The following is a 12,342-nucleotide window of genomic DNA, read 5'->3' as shown; positions in this document are numbered from 1 at the left end:
AATCCCAGCACTTTGGGAGGCTGAGGTGAGAGAATCACTTGAGGCCAGGAGTAAAAGACCAGCTTGGTTAACATAACAAGACCCTGTCTCTATAAAAGAAAAATTAAGAAAAAAATTAGCTAGGTGTGGCAGCCCATGCCTTTAATCCCTTCGGGAGGCTGAGGCGGGAGGATCGCTTGAGGCCAGGAGTTTGAGGCTGCAGTGAGCTATGATGGCTCCACTGTACCCCAGCCTGGGTGACAGAACCAGACACCGTCTCAAAAAAAAGAACCAAGAATGGGAGGAAGAGGGGAAATAATCAAAGAAAGATAGAATAACATTTCCCTGGCTGAGGAAAGACTCCAGTGTTGGAGAGTGAGAAGGGCTGCCGACAGCAGGCACCGTTCACCTGATTTCCACTCCAACCAGGCTGCGCGATCAGCTCTGGCTGAGTTCCCCCATGACCTTTGTGTGGTTTAACAGAGGCTGCTCTGGGTTCCCCTTCCTTGGGCTCTGACCACCAGCTCCTGGCTCTGCTGGCCTTGGCCTCCTTCTCAAGGCCCCTTGTTTCCTGGGCTTCCTTGGTACCATGTCTCCTGTTTTTCCTCTTTCTCCAGGGACTCCTTCCTCTGCCCATGCTGACCAACTGGGTTAATGGGAACCCTGCTCTAGGCCCTGTCCCCTTCACCCCTTCTGTTCTTTCCCGATGACCTCATCCTCTCCCCTCACTTCACGTGCCAGGAATTGCTCTCCTGGGCCCCAGGCCTGCTGTACTTCTGGTTATCTGCACTGGAAGTTTCCATGGGTCTGCCTGAAACTCAGTCCTGGTCCTCACTTCAGCAACTGTGAAGGTGGCACCTCTGCCTACGTTGCGGTCCTCGCCAGCAGCCTGTGCGTCACCAGGACTCTGCCTGTCACCCCACGTTTCATCCGGCAGCACACCCTTTCCCCAAAGGGTGTGCTTTCCACATCACGACTTTCCTCTTCTTCTTCGAACTCTCTAGAGTCTGTCTCTCCAACTCGGGCTCCGGCCTCTCAACTGGTCCCCGGGATGCTCTTCTCCCGGATTATTTCTCCACAAAGCAAGGCATTGGGTGGGTGACCTTTCCAAAATGTACATCAGATCACATCCCTGCCCTCGGAATTCCCCTTGTTTTCCTCTTGCTGCCGAGAAAAATGACTATAGTCTTGGTGGTTTAAAACAACAGAAATTTAATACTTATATTCTGGAGTCCAGAAGTCTTGAAGTCAGTTTCTCTGGGCCAAAACTAAGGTGGTGGTAGGGCTCTGCTCGCACCAGGGGCTCTGAGGCAAATCTGTGTCCTTGCCTTTCCCAGCTTGTGAGCTGCCTTCAAGGTTCATGGCCCCTTCCTCCATCTTCGTCCACAGTGCAGCGTTTTCAGATTTCTCCCTCTGCTGCAGTTGTCACGTCGCCTTCTCTCTGCTGTGGCAGAGCCTCCCTCTTATAAGGACACTGGTGGTTACATTTAGGGCCCCCCAGATAATCCAGGATAGTCTCTTCGTTTCAAGATCCTTCATTTAATCACATCTGCAGAGTCCCTGTTACCATATAAGGTAATTTTCACAGGCTCCAGGTCGGGGCCCAGGTGTCTCTGGGGCCATTCTTCATCCTCCACACTCACATGGCCCAGCATTGCCCACCAGATGAAGTCCAGACTCCTCACCAGGTCGGGGTTCTGCTCGTGCCACCCCATCTCGCACAGCTCCGAGTTGCCTGCTCTTTCTGCCTGGACCTACTCGCCCCTCATCTTTGCCAACACTGAGGTCTCAGTTTAGAGGTCTCTTCCTCCAGAAAGCCCCCCAGGACCCCACCCTCATCCGTAGGTGTCCTTCCTGTTTGCTACCATAGCACTCACCCTCCCTTGACAGAGCCCTCTGCCCCCACACATCCCCCTCCTCCTGCACCATGTGCCTTGTTTCCTTGACTGCTGAGCCACCATCGTGAAGCACGATGCTTGGCACGTTGTAGACACAATAAATGCTTGTTGAATGTGTAAATTTATACATGTGTAGAAGGGGCAACTTTTTAGAAAAAGGGACACTGACTAGTTACGGGTAATTGTCACTTAAGAAAGAAAAGTTTTGGCCAGGCATGGTGGCTCAGGCCATAAACGCAGCACTCTGGGAGGCCGAGGCGGGCAGATCACCTGAGGTCAGGAGTTCAAGACCAGCCTGGCCAACATGGTGAAACCCCGTCTCCACTAAAAATACAAAAAATTAGCTGAGCGTGGTGGCACATACCTGTAATCCCAGCTACTCAGGAGGCTGAGGCAGGAGAATTGCTTGAACCTGGGAGGCAGAGGTTGCAGTGAGCTGAGATCGCACCACTGCATTCCAGCCTGGGTGACAAAAAAAAAAAAAAAAAAAAGAAAGCTTTCTCACTAGCTCGACTTTCCTTTTTTTCTTTTTGCGCGTTACATGTGTACTCCGGTTTTCATGATCAGATTATTCTTCCTTTTTTGGAAAAGTAAAAAAAATAATAAAATTTAAAATTTAGAGAGACCAATTGTGTTCTCAGGGTCCCACTTTTGGGGACACTGGTAGGGTCTGAGTTTTCTGAATGGAATCACCCATGGTAACCGGCAGTAACAAGTTACCAAAACTTAGTGGCTTAAAGTACATTTATTTTTATTTTATTTTATTATTTAATTTAATGAATTTATTTTGAGATGGGCTTACTCTGTCGACCAGGCTAGAGTGCAGTGGCGTGATTGTGGCTCACTGCAGCCTTGGCCTCCCGGGCCCAATTTATCCTCCTGCCTCAGCCTGCCTAGTAGCTGGGACCAGAGGTGCATGCTAGCACATCTGGCTAATTTTTTATTTTTTGTAGAGATGGGATCTCCCCATGTTGCCCAGGCTGGTCTTGAACTCCTGGGCTCAAGCGATCCTCCCTCCTCGGCTTCCTGAAGTGCTGAGATTACAGGTGTGAGCCACTGCGCCTGGCCTTATTTTATTATTTTTTTAAGAGACAACGTCTTACTCTGTTGCCCAGGCTAGAGTGCAGTGGTATGATCATAGCTCACTGCAGCCCTGAGCTCCTGGGCTCAAGCAATCCTCCTACCTTAGACTCCCAAGTAGCTAGGACTACCTGTGCGTGCCACCACATCCAGCTAATTTTTAAATTTTTTTTTGTAGAGATGGGGTCTCCTGCTGTTGCCCAGGCTGGTCTCGAACTCCTGGCCTCGAATGATCCTCCTGCCTCGGCTTCATGAAGTATTGCAGTCACGGGCATGAACCACCATGCCTGGCCAACGCTAATTGATTATCTCACAGTTCTGTAGTTCAAAGGTCTGACACGAATCTCACTGAGCTAACATCAAGGTATCAACAGGGATGTGTTCTTTTCTGGAGACTCTAAGACAAGTCCATTTTCTTGCTTTTCCAGCTTCTAGAGGCTGTCTGTGTCCCTCGGGTCGTGGATCCTTCTTCCAGGAGGTCGAATCCTTCTCACATTGTCTCACTGTAATACTGGTTCCTATGCCTCCCTCTTCCACTTAAAAAATATATTGTGGGCTGGGTGCGGTGGCTCATGCCTGTAATCCCAGCACTTTGGGAGGCCGAGGCAAGCAGGTTGCTTGAGTCCAGGAGTTCAAGACCGGCCTGGGCAACATGGCAAAACCCCATCTCTACTAAAAATGCAAAAAACTAGCTGGGCATCATGGCATATGCCTTTAGTCGCAGCTACTTGGGAGGCTGAGGTGGGAGGATCACTTCAGCCTGGGAAAGTCGAGGCTGCAGTGAGCTGAGATTATGCCACTGCACTCCAGCCTGGGTAACAGAGTGAGTCTCTGTCTCAAAAAAAAAAAATATATATATATATATATGTATATATATATATACACACACACATACACGTGTATATGTATATAGTGGTAAAATACACATAAAATTTACCATCTTAACCATTTTAAAGTGTCTAGTTCAGTGGCATTAAGTAACTTCACATGTTGTGTAACCATCACTGCCGTCTATCTCCAGAACTCTCTTCCTTTTGCACACTCTGTACCCATTAAGAAACTCTCCATTTCCCCTTCTTCCCAGCCTCTGGCAACCACCGTTCTACTTTTTGAAGAATCACCATTCTATAAAATCAGTCTCTGATTTTGACTACTCTAGGTACCTCATAAAAGTGGAATCATATGGTATTTTTCTTTTTGGGTGTGGCCTGTTATAATGTCTTCAAGGTTCACCCATGTTCTAGCATGTGCCAGCCTTTCCTTCCTTTTTAAGGCTGAATAATATTCCACTGGATGCGTATATTCCATTTTGTTTATCTGCTCATCCTTCAGTGGACACTTGGGCTGCTTCCACCTTTGGGCTGTTGTGAGTAATGTGATTTTGCCCCTGGGGACACTTAGTAGTGTCTGTCGACAGTTTTGGTCATCATCACTGGGGTAGTGCTGCTGGCATCTAGTGAGCAGAATCCAGAGATGCTGCTAAACACCTGCAATGCACAAGACAGTCCCACGACAAAGAACAGTCCAAGGCCAGGGGCGGTGGGGCACACCTGTAGTTCCAGCTACTCGGGAGGCTGAGGCGGGGGGATCGAGGGAGCCCAGGGATTTGAGGCTGCAGTGAGCTATGGTCATGCCACTGCACTCCCAGCCCAGGTGACAAAGTGACATCGCTTCTCTCCAAATAGAAATTAAAAAAGAATGGGCCAGCTCCAATGGTAATAGTGCTGCTGGGCGCGGTGGCTCACGCCTGTAATCCCAGCACTTTGGGAGGCTGAGGCGGGCGGATCACCTGAGGTCAGGAGTTTGAGACCAGCCTGGCCAACATGGTGAAACCCTTCCTCTACTAAAAATACAAAAAATTAGCCTGGCGTGATGGCGGGCACCTGTAGTTCCAGCTACTTGGGAAGCTGAGGCAAGAGAATCACCTGAACCTGGGAGAGGGAGGTTGCAGTGAGCTGAGGTCATACCACTGCACTCCAGCCTGGGCGAAGAGAGTGAGACTCTTTCTCAAAAAACAAAACAAAACAAAACAAATGGTAATAGTGCCAAGGTTGAGAAATCCTGATATATATATGTATATATATACCTATCTGAATAAATATTTATACATGTAAATGTGTGTATGTATATGCATATTTTATACTTACATAGATTTTAAACAAAATTAGACCCATAGTTTTGTTACCTGTGTTTTTGTAATGTATTGTTATAATTAAATTGTCTTTCACATTGTAATATTTTAGTGGTGTCTGTAGACACATACTGTGATTTCTCGCACTCGGCTGTATTTGGGCATTTTCAGGTGGTTTACCCATCCTCAGTAGACCTCAGTAGAATCGGGCTGTCCCTGAGATAACTCTCTATTCTGTGTTGTGACGGTCTCTTCAGAGAGGAGGACTCATCAGTCATCCTTGGAACCAATGTGGCTGTCAGTGTGCTCTGTGGCTGGGGCATTTGTGCTTGGATTGTCCAAGGGTTGTCGTCTTTCCTTTGGATGTTTGTTCTCAGAGGCTGTGGCAAGCCGAGGCAGCAGCCAGCAGTGTTGCCCCTCACAGCCTTGGGTCAGTGTTAGCTGTGGATCTGGGTGGGGAGGAACGGAGAGCCATGGCGTCCAATTTTGTGCCCCCTCCCCACCCCAAGTTCTGCTGAGTTCCCAAGCACACAACTTGACTTTAACCTCTGTCTTCTCCTTCCAAATGTAGGCCTCTCCTTCCGATGAAAAGAGAAAGGAAGAATGGACTACAGCCACCAAACGTCCCTAGTCCCATGTGGACAAGATAAATACATTTCCAAGTAAGACGTTTTGCTGGAGTGTTTTGTCCTCAGTGACCAGTCCCGTGCTGGGATGTTGTGGGTGGACGGCAGCCGCTGGCAGAGGGCCCCCCACTGTATATCAGACTGGTGGGGCTCCTGCATGGGGGAAGGAGCCAAGCAGCTGAACTTGGACTTGTAAGAGCGTCAGGGCTGCTGCTATAGATAAAAACATGTCCCGAGAGCCTGGCCTGGAGGTGAAGTAAAGGGGAAGTCAAGACGCAGAAACTTTGGGGGCTCAAAAGATGTGGTATCCTGGAAGACTTCCAGGAGGAGGAGTTGGCTGGTGGCTGTTCGCTATCTTCTGAATGTTTGTGTCTCCCCCAAATTCCTATGTGGAAACTTCACCCCAAGGTGCTGGTATAAGAGGTGGGGCCTCTGGGATGTGATTAGATCTAAGTACCCTTATAAAAGGCCAAGGGAGATTGTTTTTCCTCCGCGGTGTGAGGACGCAGTGAGAAGGCACTGTCTGTGAGGATAGGGCTGTCACCAGACACTGACTCTACCCTGACGTTGGACTTCCTGGCCACCAGAGCTGTGAGAAATGAATTTCTGTTCTTTAGAAGCCACCCAGTCTATGGTCCGGCAGCCAGAATGGACTCAGACACTGCTCCCCGTCCTGTCCGTTGTGTTCCCAGGGAGTCCTGGCTGGAGTAGTGTGTCCCTCGGCTGCTCTGGGTCTGGCTAATGCCCTCTGAATAGAAGGGGACAATTTAATTGCTTTCTGTGCACTAAAGTCTCTTGAGCTCAGGCTTTTTGCTAATGTGACTGGGCTTGAGCCAAAATAGACCCTTGAATTGGAAGTTCCAGCATAAGATTTCTCTATCTCTTTTTTTTTTTTTTAGAAGGACTCTCCCTCTGTCACCTAGGCTGGAGTGCAGTGGCGTGATCTCAGTTCATGGCAACCTCTGCCTCCTGGGTTCAAGTGATTCTCCTGCCTCAACCTCCCAGGTAGCTGGGATTACAGGCATGCGCCACCACACCCAGCTAATTTTTTAATTTTTAGTAGAGGTGGGCTTTCACCATGTTGGTCGGGCTGGTCTTGAACACCTGACCTCAGGTGATCCACCCGCCTTGGCCTCCCAAAGTGCTGGGATTACAGGCGTGAGCCACCACACCCAGCTGGGATTTCTCTATCTTAACGAAATATTTAATTTATCTGGGACTAAATTGTTGGAAGTCCTTAGGCACACTTGACACATGTTTTGTGACATCTGACCATTCTTATCTCTTTGTGGACAGATTTCCCCAGGGACTTCTACCAACCAATGATTTTCTCTCCCGGTTTCAGATCTGTGTGTTCAAAAGTACCAAACGGCCTTTTGTCTTAGGTGATTTCGAATCACATTTTCCACAAATTTATTTCAGCTTGCATAGAATCATGCTGCTTTATCTAGGTTTAACTTGTCAGGATTTTCTTGGCATTTCCAGTGGGTCTTGACTCCTGGCGTGGTCCAAAATCTCTCCACTGAATGGCTGGGTTCAGAGAGGCTGAACTCTGCCACCTCTTACTTGAGACTAGACAAAAGCGCACAGTGGCCCCCTCCACCTCTCGCCCCTCTCATCCCACCTGGAGTGCAAAACATGCACTTTCAGATGAAACTTGACTTGTGCATTCTCAGGGTTGATGAGGGATTTCCCTGATCACAAAGGGGGTGAAATCTCCTCTCTGGCCACGTGCAGTAGAGCTGTACTCCCAGTGCAGCCACTTGGAAAACTTGGTGGCTAAGGAGGTCCAGTGCTGGGCTTCAGAGGGGGAGTTTCTAAGGGTTTTTATTTTTTAATTTTTAGAACTGAAAAAGTATTGCCAGGGCCCAGAAGCCACCTCATGCCCACTTCTTGTCACTACTCCCCAAGGTGAACCACTATCCTGAATTCTAACACTCCATTTTGAACTTTCTGTCAATGGAATATGATCTGTGCTTTTTTGTGAAAGAAGCTAGACACAAGAAAAGCACATATCCTATAATTCCCATGAGTCACACACATGCGTGTAGTTGTGTAGTTCATTCACATTCTCTTCGCTGATAATTTTCCGTTGTGTGGCTATTGCTTCCTTTATGCACCCATTCTGATGCTGATGGGAGTTTGCAAGTTTTTTTTTTTTTGTTTGTTTGTTTGTTTTTTTGAGATGGAGTCTCAGTCTTTTGCCCAGGCTGGAGTGCAGTGGCGCGATCTCAGCTCACTGCAACCTCTGCCTCTGAGGTTTGGGTGATTCTCCTGCCTCAGCCTCCTGAGTAGCTGGGAATACAGGTGTGCACCACCACGCCTGGCTAATTTTTTGTATTTTTGTTAGAGATGGGGTTTCACCATGTTGGCCAGGCTGGTCTCAAACTCCTGACCTTAAGTGATCCGCTGGTCTTGGCCTCCCAAAGTACTGGGATTACAGGCATGAGCCACTGCGCGCAGCCAGCTTCTGAGTCTTGTGAAGGCCTATCATTATTGTCCTTTCCTCACTCACAGCGTGCTTGAGGGAGAAAAGGCCACAGCCATGCAGGAGAATCGCTGTGTGTGGGCTCTGAAGTGCTCGCCTCAGTGAATCCATGGCTTATTAACACCTGCTCATTCAGCTTGAGTTTGGGAGTATTGTCGGTAGACGAGGCCTGCCTTGGTGTCCTGGAGTTGCTCCTTACTTTAAGCATTGTTCTGGGGTGGTGCTCACTCTTGACTTTGATCCTGGGGGAAGATGGTTATGGGGTGGTGGTGGCAGAACTCTGTGTGCATGTGCATGTGTGTGTATGTACATGTGGACAGTTACCCAAAGTGGGGTGACTGAAGGCCAGGTGAGAGGTGAGAGAAAGAGGGAACAACTGCATTATAAGTGGCTTCAGCTGATAATGTTATATCTCTTCTATTTTTCCCCCTAAGAAATGAACTTCTCTTGCATCTGAAGACCTACAACTTGTACTATGAAGGCCAGAATTTACAGCTCCGGCACCGGGAGGTAAGGAGTCCCCAGGGACGGCCCTGATTGGCTAGTCCAGGGCTTGTCACCATGTGTCCTGGGTCTGAAGGTCCCTGAGGTCCCAAGAGAACCCTGCCTCTCCTGCTTCTTATTTAGGTTGCTAGTGAGAGTCCTTGGGGTTCTTTGGAAGAAGACTCCAGGCCCAGTTTTGTTCCAAAAAGGATGAATGTTTCAGAGATGTGTTCCAGAGACATTCCTGTAGAAATGTGGCAGGGCTAGCCCAGTCTCATGGGGGAGATTCTCCAGAGGGAGCTTTCATGAAATGACCTTTCCAGGTGGCTCCCAAGCAGACGTTCTCTCGTTGGGCAATTCGGGAACCCCACCCAGTCCTCTGTGTTTAAACATTTGGGCCCAAGTCCTATCACTGCAGTGACCTGGGCAAAGCACATAAGCTCTGGATGTTAGCAGAGTCCCCACTGATAGTGGGCCCGTCCCCACACTTGGTCATCCTAGGTTGCTTTTGTTACTCATCTGATTCCCATCCTGAAACTGAGCTTACTCATCCTGTATCCATTTCTCTAAAGCCTGTTATCAGATAGATGATGAGTTATAAAGGAGTCTGGTAGGGTACTTTATACTCAAGCGCCTGTGACTGATAAAAAGGTCCCTATGTGTAATGCCCTTTGAAACACATTTTCAGGTTATCAAGCTGTGGCGATTTAACCATAGAAACAGATAACAGATGGTGGAATTTCAGCTGCTAGGGCAGGTTGCTTGGGGACAGTATGTGGGATGTAGTGGCCTATTCTGTGTCCCTCAAACCACTCCACTTAGACAAAATCCTGTTTTGGGTTAAATTTTGACCTACAATTGTGTAAAGGAATGATGCCCACCTTGACCAGGGGAAGGCCATGTAAATTGCCTATGTTTACATAAAGCCTTCCTCCCTGAGACGCCTAAGCACCGTAAAATTGTTTCATTTCTCTCCTTCCCTCTTTTATTCCTTCCTCCCTCTTTGAGGATGATTTTGGGGCCCAAGTTAGTTAGTTGCTCAATGGGCTGATGTTATTTTCACCTATGGGGCTTGTCCTGAAGATGTGTTCCATGACCCAGATCTAACACTTGAATAGCCCATAAAACATGGCTCCAAAAAGGTTTTTCTGAGACTAGAGGGAGGAGAACCGATTCTTTTAGGAACTGCCCTTCAAGCTTTTACTAATCAGCAGCTGGGCCATGCAAGATTTTAGTTCTTAAATAGCTTTCCTGGGTTATGTCCTATAGAATAAATGATTAAAAGTGCTTCATGATTAAAGGATTTCATAGTCATAAGCGAGTCCCAATTCTTCGGGATAGAACATATAAATGCCTCTAGAATGGTTTTACATTTAATGTCTAATTAGTCAGCAACCTTTGAGTATAAATTGGGGACTCCTGCAAGATTTATTCACCTGTTGGAGAGTTGTCATTTAGCCCGTTAGTTTATTACAGAACCTGGGACATTCTGCTGTTTGGAAATCTGATTAGCACAGCCTCTCCCAGCTCATGATCACTTGACACCCTTTTAAAGACAGCAGTTCATCTGCTAGAGGAGCTAGTGTTCTGTAGAATAAACTTCGGCAAATGTTGCTTTAAATTTCCTTCAACCACCAGGTTGGATTGCTAAACAGATGTTGTAGCTAAAGAGACATCATTTTCCGTAGTAGGGGATGGGACGTAGCTAACTCCAGTTCTTGCTTCTGTTAACAAGGCTAATCTCACTTATTTTAAGAAATGTATTCCGCTTTCTTTAAAAGTCATTAGGATAAAAAGAAAAACAATGCTTTTTATAATTTATACCTATGTATTTGAATTTCACAGCAACTTTTGTGCTGACCTGTGAGGTCAGCTTCAGGATCTGGAGTAGTTGACGTCAGAAAGTATCTCAGAGCTGCGGTGTGAACTGGGCAGCTGCCCCTATCCTGTGAATACAGTCTGGGGGCCCCCAGCCAGGACATGTGAAGAATGTGTCATTTGTCCCTCAGCATGGTCTTGGCTTCTGTGGGGGCTTTTCTAGGCTCACTACTCTGATTGCTTTGTGGGCAGGAAGAAGACGAGTTCATTGTGGAGGGGCTCCTGAACATCTCCTGGGGCCTGCGCCGGCCCATTCGCCTGCAGATGCAGGATGACAACGAACGCATTCGACCCCCTCCATCCTCCTCCTCCTGGCACTCTGGCTGTAACCTGGGGGCTCAGGGGTGAGTGAGGAGAGACGGGGCAGGGAGATGACTGGGATGCTTGGGTGTTCTATGTGTTCTCAAGCAGATAAATGCTGCCTTCTTCCAGCCAGCCCTGACCCTGGCTCCTCCTCCTACTACCTCTACTGCCCACCTGCCTTAGCCTTGGAATGAGGAACAAGCAGCAGATGTGGTTGTGATTGAGCCCCCTTCCTGTCACTGCAATCACTGATGAGGTCACAGGAGGGGAGCTGCTGAGTCATACGAGGGGAGCTGCTGAGTCAGAGTCCTCCCTTAGGGAGAACTCAGGAGTCTCTGAGTGGAGCTGCTAGTGGCTAGTGAGGCCCAGCCTGTATATTTCTAACAGGGCGCCCCATGCCCCAGCACCCTCCCCACTGGGACCACTCCTCATAGAATAGCCCCACTCCAAAGCATTTATGACTTGAACCTTCTGACCAAAGCTCTCTGAATCTTGGGGGAACCTAGAAGAGGAAAAGGAATGTCAGGCTCTGTCAGAGTCAGCCAAGCGAGATCAGCCAGGGGTCTGCTCCCTGCAGACCATACGGGGAGCCAGGGTTTGGTGAGATGGTGGTAGTCTAAGTTCCCACCAGAAGGGCTGGGAAGACCTAGTCCATCCCTCCTTATCCTCCATGGCTGAATAAGCCGCCAAATGCGCCGCCAAATGCCTCTAGCAAGGCATGCCCTCTTTATTGTCTTTCTGGGACTTGAGTTTTAGGATCAAGTGACTAGCCTGTCTCCATCCTGAAACCTGCTGATGCTGACTGCCTTCGGCCCCAGCCTGGGTGGAGTGTGCTCGCCTCTCAGCCAAAACCACAGTGACCTTTTTTTCTGGTTTAAATGAAAACCAAGCCCTCTCTGTTGGCCACATTGAACATTTTGCTAAACTCCACAGCCAAATCTATGTTTCTCTACAATTGAGAGAAACCTACTATGTGGCCAGCCCTGGGGCTGGTCTGGTTTCTTTCCAAGGGGATTTAAGGAGGAAAATTGTTGCCCACCCCATAGGTGCTAGGATGTCTGGTTAAGGTTCTTTGGTTTCATCTAACTTTGCAGGTTTCATGCTCTGCTTTTCAGCACTATCACCATATTTTTGTTTTGTTTTGTTTGAGACAAGGTCTCACTCTGTTTCCCAGGCTGGAGTGCGGTGGCTTAATCACAGCTTACTGCAGCCTCAACCTCCTAGGCTCAAGTGATCCTCCCAACTCAGACTCCCCAGCAGCTGGGACTATAGGTGCACACCGCCCCACCCCGACCTTTTTTTTTTCTGTTGCCCAGGCTGGAGTGCAGTGATGCGATCTCGGCTCACTGCAACCTCTGCCTCTCGGGTTCAAGCGATTCGTGCCTCAGCCTCCTGAGTAGCTGGGATTACAGGTGCCCACCACCAAACCCAGCCATTTTTGTATTTTTTGGTAGAGAGGGGGTTTCATCATGTTGG

The 12,342-nt window shown here is 48.4% G+C and overlaps 1 protein-coding gene across 15 annotated transcripts in view, besides 4 other annotated features; it reads left to right on the top strand.

The window, feature by feature from the left end:
- RASSF2 (Ras association domain family member 2) overlaps nt 1-12,342 on the top strand; it is a 43,586-nt gene that overhangs the window by 16,887 nt on the left and 14,357 nt on the right. For 9 of the 15 annotated variants that reach the window (XM_017028153.2, XM_017028149.2, NM_014737.3 and 6 more), the window contains 3 exons: nt 5,660-5,750; nt 8,637-8,712; nt 10,756-10,907. In XM_017028153.2, the coding sequence (XP_016883642.1) occupies nt 5,692-5,750; nt 8,637-8,712; nt 10,756-10,907 (287 nt within the window). In that variant the 5' untranslated portion in view covers nt 5,660-5,691. Of the gene's footprint in view, nt 1-3,135; nt 3,322-5,659; nt 5,751-8,636; nt 8,713-10,755; nt 10,908-12,342 lie in introns of all 15 variants that reach the window. The other 6 variants (XM_017028151.2, XM_047440619.1, XM_047440621.1 and 3 more) reach the window with 2 other exon arrangements.
- Nucleotides 10,367-11,227: an enhancer, noted in NCBI's record as "H3K27ac-H3K4me1 hESC enhancer chr20:4776141-4777001 (GRCh37/hg19 assembly coordinates)". NCBI's record gives its function as "activates a minimal SCP1, AML or CMV promoter by ChIP-STARR-seq in primed H9 embryonic stem cells {active_cell/tissue: H9 hESC(primed)}" and the evidence as "EXISTENCE:reporter gene assay evidence [ECO:0000049][PMID:30033119]".
- Nucleotides 10,367-11,233: a biological region, named in NCBI's record as "H3K27ac-H3K4me1 hESC enhancer GRCh37_chr20:4776141-4777001".
- Nucleotides 11,084-11,233: an enhancer, noted in NCBI's record as "active region_17497". NCBI's record gives its function as "activates an Ori minimal core promoter by ATAC-STARR-seq in GM12878 lymphoblastoid cells {active_cell/tissue: GM12878}" and the evidence as "EXISTENCE:reporter gene assay evidence [ECO:0000049][PMID:35858748]".
- Nucleotides 11,228-12,088: an enhancer, noted in NCBI's record as "H3K27ac-H3K4me1 hESC enhancer chr20:4775280-4776140 (GRCh37/hg19 assembly coordinates)". NCBI's record gives its function as "activates a minimal SCP1, AML or CMV promoter by ChIP-STARR-seq in naive H9 embryonic stem cells {active_cell/tissue: H9 hESC(naive)}" and the evidence as "EXISTENCE:reporter gene assay evidence [ECO:0000049][PMID:30033119]".

Source organism: Homo sapiens, chromosome 20 (assembly GCF_000001405.40).
Source record: "Homo sapiens chromosome 20, GRCh38.p14 Primary Assembly".
Taxonomy (NCBI): Eukaryota; Metazoa; Chordata; class Mammalia; order Primates; family Hominidae; genus Homo; species Homo sapiens.
Note: the sequence above shows the minus strand (reverse complement) of the source record. Positions and strands in the feature narration are given on the sequence as shown.